Source organism: Homo sapiens, chromosome 9 (assembly GCF_000001405.40).
Source record: "Homo sapiens chromosome 9, GRCh38.p14 Primary Assembly".
Lineage (NCBI taxonomy): Eukaryota > Metazoa > Chordata > Mammalia > Primates > Hominidae > Homo > Homo sapiens.
Window position 1 is genome coordinate 70,567,496 of NC_000009.12, and position 20,584 is coordinate 70,588,079.

Consider the following 20,584-nt stretch of genomic DNA (forward strand, 5'->3'; position numbering starts at 1 on the left):
ACATGTCAAATCTAACCTACATTTTTTTTTAAATATGGCCATCACATTTTTAATAAGCGAATGCTTCATGCAGTGCCACTCTAAACAATGCTATGTGAACGGCATTTCCTTTGGCCAAGTTGGTCTGAATAGACCTGTGGGAAAATCCTAAAACTAAACCACAAGTCGTATAAAAATTGGCTAGTTTCTGGATCCTACATAGAAAGAAAACAAGTTGGGCTTTTTCCACTTATATCCCTTGTCGAATTGTGAAACAAAAACTGTTTGCTGGGCTCTGATAGGCCAGTATTCGTGGGGGTATTTACGGACTTAGGGAGTTTATAAAAGAATGTTCTGTCTTCCTTTCTCTACATCTTGTGCAACTATTTAGTAAAAAGGGGACAGTTAATATTCACGCTTTGTGCTGCATTCTCAATGATCATACAAATATACGCATACACACACAGGAGAGAGAGAAGAGAGAGATGAGAGAGAAAAAAAGACAGGAGAGTGGAGAGCTAAAAGAAAGCAATTGGGGTCAAGTCCAGCTTGAATACTAAGTTAAGCTAACAAGATATAAGGGAGTAGCCTCATGCCTGAATTGGATATGTGAACTGGCTACAATAAAATATATGTGTAAGATGCAATTCTACTTAAGGTGTCTAGTGGAATAAAAGTGATAATTGTTCACTGGGGCCACAATAGGACATTCCAACATGCACAGACACAAGGCAAATGGCTGAGATTTTTTTATATGATCTTCAAATAGGGTTGACATGGATCTGATATAACAAATTTCAAGCCCAAGTACAGCAAGCATTTATAATTATCTAGAAACAAATCTGGTTACAACCATCCTAGAGATGCACACATCAAATTCTATGCCAAGCGCTTTCATATACAATATCTGATTGTTACAACAAACATTTTAAAAAAGGTATTAAGGTTATAGAGGCTGATCATTAAGACAAAATGGCATAAACCCTACAGAAAACACTTTAGAATTTCTGACCCATTCATTTGTTTTTCAAAATTTTTGTTTCACAGACACTTATTAAACAATTGCTATACCCCAGGCATTATTCTATATGCTTTGTAAATTTCAACTCATAAAGAATACAAAGTAGATACTATTATTATGGCCATTTTACAGATGAGTAAATTGAAACACAAATAGGCAAGTAACTTGCACAATGACACACAGCTAGCAAGAGGCAAAGCCTGGATTCAAACTAGGATTCCATCATCTTAACCACTACCTTGTGCTATTTCTCAAGGTGTGAAAGCTATTTTAAAGGCAGGAGGATTTGCATGCCCAGATATCTGCATTTAGACTTTCCTTGTGTTCCATCCTTTTGTCTGGGTCAGTGGCTGTCAACTGGTGACATCCATAAGTATTAATCTTTCCATGTTATAAAGACTTTTGAGGACAAGTATGGCTATAAAGTGAGTTTGGCTAACATGCTTGCTTTGGAACCACATCTATGTAGATAATACACTTAATGTAAATGGAAAACTTATCCCCATAAATATAATGAAAGAAACTAAGAAGCCCAGTCTTCATTTAACTATTGTCCAATAATTCCTTTGTAAATGAGTAAACTGATACCCTTTGGAAGGGACATAACCAATTTCAGGCTAGGAAATATCATTTATATTGTGTTGGATGAGGTGATTCATTCCACAGCCTCAAAGACTCAATGTAAGCCATCTTCATGTCTTGTTTATCCTGCATCTGTTTTTAATCCATGGAAACAGAGACTTCTCCATTTCACTAGACAGCATAGATGGACCCAAGAATAAGCAGTCTGTTTAGGCATAGCTATGTGCACCTACCTTGACTGATAGCTTTATTTAGCATAGTAGGGTTGGGTTTGCAGTAGAATGTCTGTTGAGAAGAGGTTAAAGACAAGCATAAAATGAGGCTTATACAAGCAAAGAACAAAGCAAAATCTTGTTTTGCTGTATGTCATGAAGAATAGCCTATTATTTCACGTGACTAGGTGATTGAAGGAACTAGTTATATTGACGGTTGCCATGGATATGCACTGCTCTAACTGGTCCCAGATTATAATAGGAACCAGAGACGATGAGTTTAGGAATAGCAGGCAAAGGGATCTGGCTTTATCAACTGGTAGAAGTCTGTGTGTTAGCATCTGAGATCAATCAGGATGTTCACATCTGTCTAGTTTGTACTTAGTAAAACAAAAAAAGATGTTCACAATCACGTTTATGGCTTTCAAAATCCAAGAGATGAATTTGCTCTCATAGAATACTAATAACAATGGCAGGTTTACAGGGCCAGCTGGGTAGAGCAGGGCCAACAATATCTTCCTTGCAGTGTTCTTTTCATTTAATTAATTGATATATGTATATTTATATAAATACAAAAATGTAAAAAATATTTAAAAATATATTTTTTTCATTGCTTCTGCCTTGCTTAGGTCTGTCTCCAGTCTAAGTTATGTTTCCATGGAATGGACTCCAACTGTTGATCCATGAGCAATAGTTCATGGGACTTGACTTCCTCTATTTTGATATTTAAAGCAATTAATTTAAGGTTACTTCCATTTTTGTGTGCACGTGTACATAAGTCTGAAATATTTAGTGCTCAAGATTGGCGTTGCTTTAGATTTTGGGACTCTGTATTTGTGTAGAATCTTCTTGCTGGGCAATCCATCGCTAGCCTAACTTAAGACATTGTACACATGTAAAAATAATGGAGCTGCATTAAAAAAATCTATAATTCAGATTTGGTTTTTTTTTTTGCTAATTCCAGATTCACTTGGTAGTTAGCATTATTAAAGTTTTGGGTCATATTACTAGAGTTTTTTTTTTTTTTTTTTTTTTTTGAGACGGATTCTCGCTTTGTCTCCCAGTCTGGAGTGCAGCGGCACGATCTCAGCGGACTGCAACCTCCATCTCCTGGGTTCAAGCGATTCTCCTGCCTCAGCCTCCCAAGTAGCTGGGATTACAGGTATGCGCCACCACGCCCAGCTAATTTGTGTATTTTTAGTAGAGATGGGGTTTCACCATGTTGGCCAGGCTGGTCTCGAACTCCTGACCTCAAGTGATCAGCCTGCCTTGGCCTCCCAAGGATTATGCTGGGATTACAGGCATAAGCCACGGCGTCCGGCCTTAGATATTTTAAAAGTAAATCTGCTGGTGAGCAATATTCACTATTTTTTTCTCTCTATCTGAAAGGACCTTGGTGTGTATTAAGTAGATTGAATATCGGGTTATTATGACACGACCTGTCAACTACTGGAGAAAGTAGATTCAGGTACCAAGTGTCCATTGAATGGCCACCGAATCATTTGAGATCAGGGAGAAGCTACTCAATTGCAAAGAAAATATAGGGCTTGATTCCACATATCTCCAGGATGGGAACACTTGCAATTATCTTTTATAGTCTATCTTCCAATCTTTCACATTCTTTTTCTTTCCTTTTATTCCATTGTCTTTCATTTCCTTGCTTATTTTGGAAGAGATAATGAGGTACATTTTCTATTCCATCTGAATAACAGTATCAGTTATTTTGAGCTGGCCAGAAAATGTCTCCCTGATGTATCTTACCAAATGGAAGCCCGTAGCATCTGTTTGGAGGCTTGACAGGAAAAGTCTCTCCTTTCTAGACTAATGACCTGCAGCAAAAGCTTATCTCATTCCAAATTCTGCCATACCTACAGACACACAGGAGACAACACAGGACCCAGGCTCCGGAGCCGGCCAACATGGGTTCAAGTCTTAGCTCTGCCGTTTACTAGCTGTGTAACCTTTGGCAGGTCACACAAGCTCCCTGGGCCTCAGTTTCTTCAATTATGAATTAGGTAATAATTACAGCTACCTTAAGAGTGTTGTTGTAAAGATAAACGAGTTGTTGCTGATATGTGTAAAGGTTTTGCACAGCGCCTGCCACTCTGTAAATCCTGACCATTTCTGCTGGAGGCCCTGTACCTTGGAGGCTCAGAGTCCAGGTTTCTGAGCCGCCTGCCAGGGTTCTAAGTCCAACCCCGCGTCTCAAATAGTTGTACCTCTTAGGCAACTTACCAATTAAGTTAAATGTGAACCATATGCACTTTTTGAGAGTAGACCATTTTTGACTTACAAAAAAGGTAGTTTCATAGGGTTCCACAGAATACATAGGTATATTCTCTGTGCCTCATTTTCCTTGCCCATTAAACATAGGGGCAACAATCCTATCTTGTAGGATTGTTGTGGGGATTAAATTAGTTAGTATTATTCACAACACATGTAGGACAGTGCTTGATATGTAGAAAGCACTATGTAAGTATTTGCTATTATTATTTTTATGACCCTCACATCTCTTTACTACTTGACCACCTAAATTTTTCTCAATAATAGCCTGTTTATTGATCCTTCTCTTTGCTTCTGTCAGAGCAGAAAGAGGCTTCTGCTTTTTGTGTTGCCAGCAATGTCTCTCTGCCCCCTTGAAGCCTGATTGACTTTGTCCCCTTCTTTTTCTCCATGTCCATCTTGACTGTTGGCATTTGCATACTCACTAAGGACACAGTGCTTTACATTAGCTGGCAGTGGTTCCCGGACGTCTTTGTCTTCTTTACATATTGACCCTGGAGTGTGAGGGCCCAGGAAAGATACAATATTTCTTCCCAGTTACTTGTGTGTGTGTGTGTGTGTGTGTGTTTCCCACATGATGGTGATTTTAAATCTTTAGAAAAATTCCTTATGTTCAAATGTGGAATTCGTAATGCTTTCCTATGCTTTTTGTCAAAAACAGACTTTTAACAAACTTAAATAATTTTAGATTTGTAGAAAGGTTGCAGAGTTAGTACACAAAATTCCTGTTCTGTATATTCTTTACCCAGTCTCCGTTAATGCTAAAGTCTTAAATAACCACCTATATTTGCCAAACCTAAGAAATTTACATTCATAAGTTACTGTTTGTACATTACTATTAGCTAAACTCCAAACTTGATACAAATTTCATTAGTTTTCCACTAAAATTCTTTTTCTCTTCCAGGATCCTACATTGTGTTTTATTATCATTCTTCTTAGTTTCCTCCGGTTGTTGACAGTTCTACAGTCTCTCATTTTTTATGACTTTGGCACTTAGTGTTGAGGAGTACCGGACAGATATATTTTGTAGCATGTCACTCAATTTGAGTTTGTCTGATTTTTTTTCTTCTCATGATTAGACTAGGGTTATGGGTTTTTGGAAAAAAATCACAAAGATGAAATGCCCTTCTTTTTATAACATATCAGTGAGTAAACAATACTAAGATGAGTTCTCACTGGTAATGTTAACTTTGATAACTCTCTCCACCATTTACAAAATACATTTTTTAAACATAGAATTCTCACATGTTAAGGTTACCAAGAGACCATCTAAAGACAGTAAGTAACTAGATTTCTAAAATTGCAGCATTTTAAAGCCCTGAACGGGCTTGTTCAATTGTTCTCAATCTTCTCAGCCCTAACATTTCTTTTTAATAATAACTATTTCCTATTCTTCCTTCATTCTTCAGAAGTGAAATTTATAGATGGTATAATTTATCTGTACATGTAGTCATAGAAGAATCAATATAATGTCCTAATTTTAAATAAACGAGAAATTAAAGGAACATAATTTATAATAAAATAATTATTTCAATATATAAGTGTTCAGACACAACAATTCCAGAAGCCATAGTGAAGTGGTCAGATGCTTACACCTAAATGAAGAACTTCCATGAATAAGACAGACACAAATGCAGACAGATGTGAGGCTCAAATACAATGAGGAACATTGTCTTTGGTGAGTTGATTTTCCAAAATGTTGAACAACTCATGAGAAAGTTCCAAAGCAAACAAAATACCATCTCCCTTGATTTTCATGGTGGTTTCATTCCTGGAAAAATTCACAGCTCATTAAAAACATGCAAAAATTTGTGTATTTAAATGTAAAATGGAGTTAGGCTCAGATAATTATAACCAGGTTTTTCACCTATGTGAATGTCTGCTGGGATAGCAGAAAGCTGTGTGGACAGAGAACAATGCTTCATTGTGGGAGTGTCCTGTGCACTGCAGGTTACACACACAGTCTGGGCTCTAACCTCTCAATGTCAATGATGCCCCTAATCAGGGAGGGCAAGCAAAAACAATCAGGGAGGGCAAAAAACAAAAAACAAAAAAACCAAAACAAAAACCTTGAATTTCCAAGGTAAAGTTTCCCAAAAAAAAGGTAAAGTTTTCAAAAAAAAACCCTTGAATTTCCAAGGTAAAGTTTCCAAAACATGGGGGCCATGCTGCCCATCAAGACCAGCACTGTTAGAGTTCAGGTCTAATCACTTCATCTCACAGTGAAGAACTGGGCTCAGGTCCTAACAGCCAGCACTTTAGGGCAAACAGCCTGGAAGCCAGCACTTTAGGGAAAACAGCTCCTAACCTGCAGGATCTGGTGTTTGTTGAGCCCTCAAAAAGGGTTCTGGTAACCCTTGGATTGATGCAGAAATGTAGCTTAAATCATGCAATTCATTTCACACACACACACACACACACACACACACACACACACACACTACCAACACCACCATGCTTGGATTGATTTAGAAATGTAGGTTAAATCAGCAATTCATGTCAGACACACACACGCGCGCGCACACACACACACACACACTACTAACACCACCACCACCATCATCAACAACATAATCATCAACTCAGTTTCTACACAAAATCCTTCACTTCTTAGTTTTCCCAGTGAATTAGGAGAACATTCAAATCCTTACACTGGCCTAAAAGGCCCTGCACAACTTGGCCCTGGTCTGCCTTCTCCAGCTTTATTCCCTACCATTCTCTCCTTGCACATCACACTTCCACCCTGCTGGTCTTCTCAGTTACTGGCAGGAGGAGTACCCTCCCCTCTGTCTCAGGACTTTGCACTGGCTATTTCCCCTGCCTGGGCTCTTTTCCTACTCTTTCCCTCGCAAATTCCTCCTTATTCTGCATAGCTTGGCTTGAAAGTCACTTCCTCAGAGAGCCTTTCTCTGAGTCCCAAATATGTCTCCTTGTTAGATGTTTTCATAGCACTCTGTATTCCTTCATCACATACTTAGCAGAGCTTATGATTAAGTATTTATTTGTGTAACTCTGGGTTTGATATCTGATGCCTCTACTGGGCTGTGAGCTCCCAAGGAGGCAGGAGCTTCATCAGTTTTTCTCATTACTAATCCCCATTACGCAGGAGAGTGCCTGGAACAGAGTTGTTTCCAAATATTTGCTGAATCCATGAATGAATGAATAATTAGGTTAGCTGCCCAGAATGACTTTCAGGCTGGCTGGCAGGCTGACACAATGGGAGAAACACAATCATGGTTTTTCATGATGAGCAGCAGCATAATACCTTGGTTCTGTTTTGCTGTGAAGAGAGAGAGGCATGCTATTTGAGACTGTTTATTTTGGCATAGTTGTTTCAGTGAGCTTGTTTTTTTCTTTTCTTTCTTTTTTTTTTTTAAATTTTTTTTCCCAACAGGGTCTCACTCTGTCACCCAGGCTGGAGTACAGTGGCACAATCACAGCTCACTGCAGCCTCAAACTCTCAGGCTCAAGCTATTCTTCCACCTCAACCTCTCAAGTAGCTGGGACCACAGGTGTGTGCCACCACATCCCGCATAATTTTTTTTTTTTTTTTTGTAGAGACAGGGTCTTCGTATATTTCCAGGCTGGTCTTGAACTCCTAGGATCAAACCATCCTCCCTCCTCATTTTAAATGAACATAAATGGAGCAGAGAAGCCTAGAAGGCACCTGGGTATTTGAAGTAGTGAAGGCTCCTGCATCTACCTGGAGCTGGCTTCCCCGCTGGAAGAAACAACGGCTTTGCAAATTTTAGCTTTATAGGGCTCACCCTTACATGTACCCTACTTCATTTTTTCCTACTGTTACTACTAATAACACCTTATCTCTAAGTAGCCTTTGACACTGTGCTGTTTGTTTCATTCTTTCCCAAATTTTGGTCTTTGGGTATCACTTTCATTAATTTGGCACATGACACATCACCAGTGCTATTATTTATTAACTTTTTTTTTCCTTGAATACATCCCACTCTGACACTGATGCACATTTTAGCTTCATCAAAAACAATAATATGCATGAATGTCTGATTATATTCATTTGGGCTTATCATATTCATTTGGAAAAAAAATGCTCTTTTTCTGGGCTGTGTTCTTGTGTGAGAGGAACACCAAGGACAACCTCCTTTCTGTCCTCAAACTGTTAAGAATATACCAAAGAACAGACAGTTTGAGTAACTTGCCCAAGGTCGCAGGGTTAGTAGAGATGACAGAACTGAGATTCAGTGTCTGGCTTCTGCCTCTGTCCTGGACTGTTCCTGTCACACTAACTCAAACCATTCTTAACTGAGTTCTCTACCCACACCAGGCACTCCATAACTATAAACTGTGGTTGGACTAATGATGGCTTCCAAAAGCAAACTCTTCTTCATGCTTTTTCTCTGAGTACATTATATTCTGTGCAATGCTGCTGGCATCTTGGGACAGTAGCTGCCTCTTTCCAACTTGTAATTTTCTGACCCATCTATGAGCCATGTCTCATTTGTATTACCAGGATGCCCCCTGTTTTCATGATGAATGCCATTTTGACATACTTGTAGAGACAGGTGAATCTCCTCATGGGCGGTACAATGTAGTTTTCATGGATATCTAATTTATCCATGATGGGTGATTTTGAGACTATCCAAGGTATCACCATATCAGTGTCATAGAAACCCTTCTGGGAAGCCTTCAATGGTGGAGGAAGCTCCCTTCCTGATTTCCTAATTCTGGAAACCACTGGTCTTTGGGTGATTCTCTATCTTCCTGACCATCAACCTTTGGCAGTGCACTGTGTCTTGAATAGCTGCAGAGTTGCCAATCCTGTTCTTAAATCCAGTTCTCATTTAGAATTAAACCACATACTTGAACACAGAAATTCCACCATGACATGCTACGCCAACTTGAGCTGCTGCTATAGATCTTCTTCTTCTTCTTCTCCTCCTCCTCCTCCTCCTCCTTCTTCTTTTTTTTTTTTTTTTGGTTTTCCCAGAGGGAGGCTTGCTCGGTCGCCCAGACTAGAGTGCAATGGTGCGATCTCGGCTCACTGCAACCTCTGCCTCCTGGATTCAAGTGGTTTTCCTGCCTCAGTCTCCCTAGTAGCTGGGATTATAGGCACCCGCCACCGTGCCCGGCTAATTTTTGTATTTTTAGTAGAGATGGGGTTTCACCATCTTGGCCAGGCTGGTCTCAAACTCCTGACCTCATGATCCACCCACCTCAGCCTCCCAAAGTGCTGGGATTACAGGCGTGAGCCACCACACCCGGCCGCTGCTATAGATCTTAAACTCCAATCACACTGGCATTTTTTTTGATCCTAGTTGAAAGCATCCAGACCATTCCTACCACATGGCTTTTTGCCCTTGCTGTTCTCTCTGTCTGGAATGTTCCTTCCCCAGCTCTTTTCATGCCTATTTCCATTATTCACATTTCAGCTCAACGTTATCTCTTCAAGCCCTTTCGCTGACCATTCTCTATAAAATTGTGTGCCCAAGTCCTTGCCGCAGTGACTCTTGATCCTGCTAGTTGGACTTATTTTCTCCCTGGCAGTTATGACCACCCCAAAGTATGCTGTTTATTTGTTGACTTACTGTTTCCACCGAACCCCACAGTAGATGTAACTGCTATGAAGTACATGCCAAGGCCTCTCTTGTTTACTGCTTTCTCTTTGCAATAAGTGGTTGCTAAGTAAATAAATGCATGATGTGGTCCAGGCACTGCAGTGAGGTATAGGGGAAAGTGCAAGGCTCTGGATTCCGATGGAAGCAGCCTTCTGTTCTAATGCAGAAGTTAAGAGCGTGGGTCTAGAAGTCAGATGGGCCTGGATTCCAATTCAGCCTCTGCCACTTTCTGGCTGTGTGCCTTCAACAAGTTCTTTAACCTCTGTTCTTCATGTAGATCACTAGTAAATCAGCACTAATGAGTCAGAGTGTATCATGTGCCTGGCCTGGTGCCAGCCACTGTAATAGCCTCTCAACAAATGTTAATTGACTTCCCTTTCCCTAGAAATGTCAGAAGAAACCCATGAAACCCAAGACATAGCTTTTGTAACACACTTGGTAGTTAATAGAGAATTCAGGCATCCCTGTATTCAATATAATCTGCTTAAGTACGACTGCCATACATTTTGCAAAAAGCAGTGACATTTTCAGCAGTTGGCTATCTTATGTAGACTCCTGATAGGGTTGATAATCTTAAATCCACAGGAAAGAATCCAGTCTTTTAGTGCATGACCTGTTTGATAGTGGTGTCCCCCGCCCTGTATATTCAATTACTTGCTGTAGAATAGAACCGCATGCACCATATATAGTTCCTTCGGTGCTTGAACATTATGTTCCTCAGGTGGCACGAGTGACTTTGAAGTACTTGTCAGCAACCGGCTTTCTTGTAACAGTACTGTAACCATTCAGTTCATAGTGACATTTTACTTCTGAAGCTCTTGTTCAGAATATTAAAAAGGGCACATAGCAGACTTCATCCCTTTGCTTCAAGGCCTGTGATTCTGTAAAGCTAGCCCATCAACTCAGGAGAGAGTCACTGGCCCCAGTGAATGTTTAAAACTGTTTTCAATTTGGTTCAGTGGTGTTAAGTTGATCAGTAAATATAACTATTGAATCTTATCATGGGGGGTTTGATTCCCCTTTGCGCTTTATCACAAATGGTGAGCTGGATTGATTGAACTGAACTATTTTGCCAGGATGTCTGAGATCACTCAGACCACTTTCTTTGTGAGTGCGTCATGGTGCTTTTGTATCCAAAAAAAAAAAAAAAAAAAAAGACTGGTGTCTCTCTTAGATGCAAACTTGAGAAGGGAGGTGTTGAAGTTTGCTAGACTCCACCTGGATTAGCAAAATATTTGTAAATTCTAAATCATAGGTTAAGGCCTCTGGGTTCTTCTTGTTCTTCATAGCAATGATAGCTTATTATGTCCAAAACTGGTGCCCAAGGGCATGGGACAAGATCTACTGGTGTTTGCCAAAAGGAGTCCTTCACGTTGACTGTTCAGACACCCTAAGTGCCCGATGTCCTAACTTGGTCTTTGGTCTGAAGACAGAGTGAGCAGAGCAGAGGGAGATGTCGTGAAACCCTGTAAGGGATGATCAATGGGGACCTGCAGCACTCTCTGCCTGGCTTTAGTTTGTGAGGACTTGGGGCCCCTTCAGATCTGTCCTTTAGGACTTCTTACAAGTTGAGGCAACTACATTGTGTCATCTCTTTCAGAAGCAATCAGGAGTTGAATTTTGGGTTCTGATAGGCCAGGTTTTCTCAATCTCAGCACATTGACATTTTGGGTGGGATAATTCTTTGTCTGGAGAAGATGTCCTGTGCATCAGGGGATGTTAGGCAGCATTCCTGGCCTCTACTGCTAGATGTTAGTAGCGCCCCCTGGGTTGTGACAACCAAAATACTTTCAGGGAGTGCCAAATGTCTCTTTGCTGGGTGGTGGTTAGGGGGTGCAACTGCCCCTGGTTGAGAACCAGTGAGATAGACCTTGACTATGAGAGATTATCTTGTGATCATAAGTAAGCATGTTTGAGAGTACTCAGCTCCTCTGGGCTGTCCTTGGGCCTTTCAGACCTTTGAGTTTCCTGGAGAATAGATTTTTATTTTTAGTTTTTTAGAGATGGAGTCTCGCTATGTTGCCCAGGCTGGAGTGCAGTTGCTATTCACAGGCGTGATCCCACGACCCATCAGCATGGGAGTTTTGGTCTGTTCCATTTCTAACCTGGACCACTTCACCCCTCCTTAGGCAACCTGCTGGTCCCTCCCTCCCAGGAGGTCACTACATTGATGCTAAACTTATTGTGGATGCCTGATCGACACAGCACACTATAACCCAGAACTCCTGGGCTCAAGTGGTCCTCCTGCCTTAACCTCACGAGTAGCTGTGACTACAGGTGTGCACCACCGTGCCCAGTGGGAATAGATTTTTTGATTTGGATGAACTAATGATAAGAAAAAAGTGAGAAAGGGTAGTATATAAATGCATTCATTCCTCTCCTCTCTTCCTTTCTCTCCTCTGTCTCTGTTAGTTTTCCAGAAGGGGAGAGATGGGGTTTGGAGGAGGAGAAACCTAGCTGAACTGAAAAAGCTGCAGCTAGGAAGCCCGTGCCCGCAGACTGAACTGAGGAACCTGAGGCTTGTAGAACTTCAGGTGATCCTGATATTCAAGTTCAGGCATCAGCAATTTACTGCAGGCAGCGTAGAAGACAGTGTTTGGAGGCAAACTGGGCATCTGCCAGGACCCTTGACAAAACTGCCATGTAGGCAAAGCCGTTTTGCCACCATGTGTCTTTGTGAAGCCTCCCCACACCCTGTCTCACTTTTCTTGCCCTCCAGACACTCAGTTGCCTCATGCTGGCTTCTGGCTGCTCAGGGTCCACCTCACGCATGCTGAGCCATCAGCTTCCACGTCACCTGCCCCCATTTCAACGCCCCTTCCCTGAATGCTGATTTCAGCTATTTTGGGGGTTGAGAGGAGCGATTCACATACTTCACATTAAGGCGAGAAGAGTCAGCAGGTTTAACCTGTTCAGGGAATGTTTTGACTCTTAAAAGAGAAGGTTGTTGCTCCTGTTTTAGAAGATATTTTGGAACAAAGGGCTTTTTTATGGCTTATCTAATTTCCCTGAAATGAGCATTATGGTTGCATATTTTCTAGCCATGATCTCCCCACTCTTCAGTGACACCTATGCATCCCATAAACTGAAGCTATACTTAAAAAGGGGCTCCACACAAGGCGACCTGCGAATTTCCAACAAGATCCAAATCCCTTAGCCTGACATATAAAGCCCTTTACAGCAATCTGCCTTACTAACCTCTTCTCCATTAATTCACTCAAGTAATGGTGGAAAAGATGAATACAGACCCTGGCCCCAACCCATCCCCAACCCCCACAATGCATAGAATCCAATAAGGGATACACACAAGAAATCAGACAAAAACAATATGGTGTCCACATCAACCCAGTGTAGATACAGAGGGCTTGGGAGTACCTCGGACACAGAACTAACCTAGAGGCTAGTTCCAGGCTGGCCCAGGGAGGACACCTCATATCTCCGTTCTCTCTGGCCCCCATATGCCCACACCAGGCATGCTCTGTCATGCCTCTGGTTTTGTACATAACAGTCCCTCTGTTTAGAATGCCCTGTCATTATCTGTCTGAAAAACTCTTAAAATCCTTTGTGATCCAGCTTAACTGTTACCTCCAGGAGACTTTCTCAGAGTGCATCTGGCCCGCCCTCCCTTTTCTCTTCCCCTTTTCCTACTGCTAAACTGTGTTCTTTCCTTTGAGCTAAGTCCTTACACAACACCTCTATGAAAATATATATCACGCTGATTTGTAATGTGTGTTTAGCTGTCAGTCTTCTTCAGCAACTTCCTTCAAAACTGAGGCAACAAAGTATGTCTTTTTAACTCCCATCTCGTGGCACAGAGCCTGGCACTTGAAGTGCTTAGTAAATGTCATTGAATGAATGAACCCATTCAAACTAGAATCTGGAAAATATTATAGCAGGATGTCTCCTTTATTCCTTTGTGTATTAGATTATGAGATATATACACAGAAGAGTCCATAAAACATATATGTCCAGTGTAAAATGAAAGCCCACGTAACCACAGCCTGGGCCAAGAAATAGCCCCTCTATCCTTAACTCACCAGTGGGTGTCATCTCCCTGAATTGAGTGTGTCACTAAGTTGAAGACTCAACATCCTGCATTTGACCTGAAGTTATTGGGGTCTTTTTCCAAGCAAGCACTCATCTTGAACCTTAGGCCTGATGTTCTAGATATCAAATATTTGGCTGAAAGCCAAGCAATTCAGTCAAACATCACTTGACAGACGTGGTCTGATATCTAGCCGCAGGAAGCGACTCGCTCCACTGGACAGTATCTTGCAAAAGATCTTGAGCATCTTCCTTTCCCTTACATATTGAGGTTGCAGGCTTATTTGGACTCTGTCACATCTGAGGAAAGGCAACTAATGTGTGAGCCTTGCTGGGATCATCTGCTAATAGTTAGCCTGTGTGGAGATCAGTCTATTTGTTGGTTGCTGTTAATACAGATCAATTAAAATCTTGCCACGTTATTCAGAAGGGGTGTACTCTGCTCTGCTTTGAGTGGAAATCAACCATCTGCCTTGCTGTGTTTGGTCAGAACACTGAGCCTTTGGAAAGGCCATAGTTACAGGATGCATGGCAACCACCGCCGGCATGGTGAGGCTCAGAGCTGGTGGGGCTGTCTGCATGGGCCTCAACTGGTCCTGCTGCTGGGCTCACACAGCTCTCTCTTCCTTCCTCTGCTGCCCTCAACAATCAAGGGCCAGCAGGTGGGCCAGTCTCCCTCCCTCCCTTCCTCCTTCCCTCCCTTCTTCATTCCTTCCCTCCTTCCCTCCCTTTTTTCCTTGTCTTCTCCTTCCTTTCTTCCTTCCTTCTCTCCCTCTTTTTCTCCCTCCCTTCCTTATAGCTGCCTAATCTCTGCACATATACTACAATCATGACTTTTTCAATAGATATTTCTTGAATGCAGCTGGAATTTTCTTCTTGAAAACAAAGTTAGCTAGCTACTTTCAGGAACTTAACTCTAGAATCCCCTTTGAGTCCACTTTCCTTTCTCACTCCTCCCCGCCTCCACCCTGTGCGTGTGTGTGTGTGTGTGTGTGTGTGTGTGTCATGAATCCATGATCACTACATTTAATTTAATCCACATTTTAAATTCCTTTATAACAAACATAGCTTCTTTTCATCATCTTGACTGACATTTCTGACACTTCAGCTTTTCTAGTTTCTTTATATGTAGTCCCTGAAATCTTTTTGTTTGCTTGATTGATTGTTTAAAGCAGATAACAACATCACTCTCTATCCTCTGCTTCAAGGAGTTTAATTCATGCATCAACTATTTTCTGAGCACCTACATTGTGTGAGACATAGTTTGAGGTATTGGAGATACTGCAGTGAACAAGAAAGATGTGGGTCCCTGCTCTCACAGAGCTGGCATTCTAAAGGATTTTTATATTCTAGAACAGTGCTATCTAATTCAGTGGCCACTAGCAACATGCAGCTATTTAAATTAAAATCTCAGTTAATTAAAAAGAAAAAAATTAAAAATTTAGTTTATTATTTATACTAGCCACATTTCAAGCACTCAGTAGCCATATGTGACGAGCAGCTATGGTATTGGACAATATAGATCTAGATGAGTACCATCACCCATCACAGTAGATTCTACTGTACAGGGCTATTCTGAAGAATTTCCAGACTTACCACCATTCTGGGAGTCTAAGAGATCCCTGTGGCCACACTGTGAGATGATTTATGATGACACCAGGTTACAATTACTTCATATATAATCTTTCTTTGAAACATGTGGGTTATGTCTAGGATGCGTGGAACCTATGTGTTTATTTTTATTTTGGGTATCCTGTTTTTACTTACAAGATGGTTAAATTAGTGTGGTGGAATAGTATGTAGAAGTACTCACTTCTCTTCCTATATTTCAAGCAGGTACTGGCTTGGTACCCCCCACCCCAGGGAACGGAAGGTTGCAGCACAGAATCCAGAAATAGCCCTTGAGTTTCTCTGGCTGCTTTTGTGGTCCAAATGTACAAGCTCTCAGGGACCTTAGAGTGTTTTCAGAAGGGGCAACAGAAGGGAGGATTTGGGGAATAGATAAAAATGTCTTGGCAGAAGCAGGGCTGGAGGAGAGAAAAAAGAAATGTGAGTCTGCACATACACGTGAGAGTGTATGAGAGTGAACGCTACACTTCATAGCTTGCGCATGCTTTGCGGGCTCAGGCTACATGGTGTTTCTGGAGTTCCACTGGGAGTGGCCAGGTTACCTATGACTTATAGTCATGATAGAGTAGAAAAAGCATGGTCTTTGAAGTCATGCAAACATAGGGTGAAACAAAAGTGCTCTGTTAAAGGCAGAATTACAACAGAGGCTGAAAATGGTCAAGATGGAACAAGCGCTAAATTTAATTATAGGCAAGGTATTAGCAAGTCTGGAAAAGGTTAAAGAAAAGTGGAATATTCCAAGGTTATATCAAGAGTTCACCTTTGTGGAAGGTGATGAATGATGCTTCTCTAGCATCACAAGCCATTGCCAATTTCAAAAGGAGAGCCTCCTTTGAGATGGAGAATCCTCTAGCCATTTGGGGAGGTTCCTCTTCAGGATCTAGTTACTCTTCTCTATTACACAAAGTCTCCAGTTCTATCCTTTTAGGGCTAGGTATCATTAGCTTCATCTGATCTCTTATACTACTAGAGTTCCAGTCTTTAGCTGTCTTAAAACTCTGGCTAAGTTACTCTCACCGTACTTCTTTCTATCATCTCCTATTCCTACAATGCAAGCTCCTCCAGCCACCCACCTTCCCCTGGGCTATTGTCTTCATATGATGCTAGGCTTTCTGCCCCTGAACTCTCATCGCTGTTCCCTTTTTCTCCTTTTCCCCTGAGTCTTCCAGAACCCAATTATCACTGAATACAAACTCCTCTGCTTTCTTGTACCTTTTTTTTGAGACAGGGTCTTGCTCTGTTGCCCAGGCTAGAGTGCAGTGGCGCAATAATGTGTCACTGGAGTTTTGAACTCCTGATCTGAAATGATCCTCCTGCCTCAGCCTCCCGAAATGCATGAGCCACTGTGCCTGGCCTTCTTTCTCATATTTTTATGAGTCCACTTCCCCATTTTCTTGCCTTAATTAAAATCCATCTTGCAGGAAGACACCACCTCTCTGTTACCTTTTCAAGTAGAAGTTGCACATTTTTCTACATTGTGGTTCCGAGGCAATGTCTGCATTTTTATTGATATTCTTTGCCTTTTCCAAACCACTGTTTTTCACTCTTGTGCAAAAAACCCTTTCTTTTTTGAGTTTCAGGTCATCCTGATCAAAGTCTTCCCATTCACACCTTCTCCTGTCATTATTGTGAACAACTTCAATATCTGTATTGATAAACACAGAAGAATCTAGCTTCAAGATACTTGACCTCAACTCCAGCATGTTCTAGAACCCATCCTCATAGCTACCCCTGGACCTTATCATTATTCTAAACTGCTTCACCTCTTAATTCTGAACACCAATTTACTATTGCCTGACCACAACATCGTATAATCACGGCCTTCAGGACCTTTAGTCAATGTAATTGCTTCTCAGGCTAGAAACCTAGTCCTTTGATTATTCCTTTTTCCTCTGGGGTTTTCACCAACTTTATACCTTTCTTTTCCCTTCATCTTACACCTCACAATGTATAACTTCAAAAACCCTTGCAAACATCTTTAATAACCCTAGTCCCTGTTCCCTCTCTGCCATGTGGGCACAGCAAAGCCTCAATCTTGGATTAATCCAGCCATTTGTCTTTCCTGTACTATATCTGGGGTGCAGAGTCATGACTGGGGAAACACACAACTTATCTATGCAAATAGGTGGCCCAGAGCAATCCTGTGATATGTACCAAGTCAGTGACATCTGCCACTTTCCTAGTGGTGATTATAAGACATCACTCTTCTCAGAGCTCTACTGCATTGTGCTTTCTCTGCCCCTCCTGCCCCGCTGATACATATACAGCATTTCTCTCCCTCTTGCCTAGTAAATGCTTTGTCCTGTTGCTGATTTACTCTTACATCACTGCAATTGGTTTTTGCGCTTGCACTGAAATAAAAATGTCCTGGCAAAAGTCACCAGTGACTTCCTGAAGGACTAACTGAATGGACGTCTATAAATATTCACCCAGTTGGACTTTTCTCTTGCATTTGACACCGTTGACCACTCAGTATTCCTCTCTGGCCTTCTCTTCTCTTTCTACTTGTGCCCGCTGGTAAGCTCACCCATCATGGCATTAACCATCACGGTGGTTGATCCCTAAATCTCTATCTCCTGTCCAGCTTCTACTAAGCTCCAGAGTTCTATGTGCAAAATAGCCTTCTTCATGGTTTTCCTGGAATTCCCATAGAAACCTCAAACTCAATTCAATCCTGACAGAAAAAGTCCCCATACCCCCATAGTTCCTTGTCCCAGATTCTCTATCTCAGTGAATGACATCACCCTTTAGACTAAGCCAGAAACCTTGGCGTAATCTCCAGCTCCTCTGTTTTAAATCCCCATCCACTTTTCCCACTATCACCCTCTGCACCATCTGATTTCTTTCCAGGTTCTTTTGATTGTACCTTCCTAAAATCTCATCCTGCCTGTTTCCTCCATTCCAGCTGCTGCTGCATTAGAAATTTCCTCTCACCTCTCACTTCCCACCTCTACCCCTCTTATGGACTTTCCACATTTTTGCTTGGGAGCTCTGATTAAAACATACATCTTGATCATGGTACTATTCTGAGCATGGAGTGTAAGTCCTCCAGGATCTGTACCCCGTCTGTCTCCTCAGACCCTTCCGTCCTACTTCCTATCTCTTGCCTCTTACTCTACCATCAGCCATACTAAATATCCACTGCTCCTGGAACTTTTCATACTAATTCGCAGTTTGGAAGGCCATTCTTCTCTCCTTACACCTCCTGCTCTCATCTTCCTGAAACATCAGCTCATATCGAGCGGCTCAGCTCAACCCTCCCTTTCTCTGCAAGGTCTCATCTCCCACCCCAGGTAGAACTGGCTACCTTCTTTGGCTCCATCTCTACACATGTATCGTCAATGGCAGCTTGCCTTTCCTGGACTGTAAGCTCCTTGAAGACAAAGCCTCCGTCACATGTATCTCTGTGCTCTGGTTCCCAGCTCACAGTACAAACAAAATAAATATTCATTGACTGAAGAAAGAATTCAAAGTGGAGTCCAACCTGTGAGAAAATGCTAATTAAATGTTATGACAATAGAACAAGTGTTGATCAAAACAGCGTCCGGAATCATCACAAAGTCCTGTCTGCAGATAGCTCTGTTATTTGTAAATCCATTAAGCCTCAGTTTGTATTAGTAAACAAGTCAGGTGGGTATTCTCTATAACGTGAGCTGGCTTTCAGGGACAGAAAATGAGGATGGTGCCTCATATTGGCTTGCTTCCTTAGCAATTTGTGAAAACAAAACCCAACAAAACAAAACCCTTTCCCAAAAGTTGGCACTGGCTCAAGTTTTCCTTTTCCAAAATACTTTTTTGGTCAAGCAACACTCCCCACGCTATAGCTGTTAGGCATTAGTGTGCTCTGAATCCATTAGAGAAGGTCAGTTCAGAATACTAAACAGATGCACAGCCCTGAGTCTTGAGAACTGGAGTTTCATGATTGCAATGCATAACAATAGTCATCTTCGTTCATGCTGCTCTAAACTTCACCATAAGCAGGCGTATTTTAGAGACTGGCTCCTTGAGATGTTCTGATTTCCACATGGGAAGTGAGGAACAATTAATTTGAGGCAGAAAAATAATTCAGGAATGTGTTTTGGCTTTACATGCACACACATGACAAAAACAACACTTTAAATTCAGTCAACATCACAGAGACAACATGGACACAAAGGAGCAAGGATTTTTTTTTTTTATAGCAAACCTTTGTACTAAATATATACATACATAAATAAAGCAAAAACAAAACAAAAACCTTCCTACCCCAGACTACCTATTAATTTTAGATGGAAAAGCCCTAGGCAGTAAGAAAAAAAAGTAACCCAGGCATTAAGTAGATTGGATAGCTAATTTGGAGTGAATGGAAAGGGCTAGATAATATTAAGTTGTCATGGTAGAAAGTAAGTTTTGGACATTCTGCTTTCACATTACTATCTAAACTTGTAAAAATACTCAGAGAAGCAGAAAGGAGGACTAAATTTAGACCCTTACTTAATGCATTCAAGAGCATGATTCATTTTCCTCCTGCCCTGGTACAGCCTGGGGAATCTGAATATACAGCCAGCAGCACATGGATGCCCTGTAAATAAATGAAAGTCGCATTCATTCAGGGGCTGGAGAAAGCCAGAGACACCCCGTTTTCCCTGCCAACAAAGGTGCACTTCTAGGCACCTCACACACCAGAATGCAGAACCAGATTTCTAAGCTGGCAAGAGTCCATCTAATTTTAGCTTTGCTCCGGCCTTGGCATGAAATGCTGCTGGGGTGGAAATGAATTCTGCTGCTCCTCTTTTCTAAGTGGCTTTTCTCCTCAAGCTCCAGTGGGATCCTGACCAGCTCTCAGAGGCCATGCCACATGGGTCACACTGATGAGACTACCCAAAAGGGTGTCATCATTTGGTAGCCATGCATTTAACAACCCAGGGCCTAAGTTGTTTCATGGTAGCCCTTAGATTGGTTCTTGGAGAGCTAGGATTCTATATAGCAAACACGTGAAGACAATTTTGGGCTATTTGAAAGAAACCAGACAAACCAAAAAGGAACCAACCACACAACAACAGCAAGTTGCATTCCCACGAATTAAATCAAGGTGGTAGGCAAAGTTTCCGGGTAGAGCGGACAGTCACTGTCCCTTCCCCAGGTTCCTTATCTTCTGCTTCCAATCACATTCTCTCACTCTCCTCTGCTTCCAAACAAAACAAACATTTCAGTCTCCACAGAGAACTTAGATTAAGGCTGAACTATCATTTGTGTTTAGTTCA

General features: G+C 41.6%; 1 protein-coding gene and 1 pseudogene across 19 annotated transcripts in view; both read right to left on the minus strand.

The window, feature by feature from the left end:
* The window catches only part of TRPM3 (transient receptor potential cation channel subfamily M member 3), a 917,912-nt gene that overhangs the window by 38,436 nt on the left and 858,892 nt on the right, over positions 1–20,584 (minus strand). The window lies entirely within an intron of this gene.
* RN7SL726P (RNA, 7SL, cytoplasmic 726, pseudogene) lies at positions 11,668–11,963 on the minus strand (annotated as a pseudogene).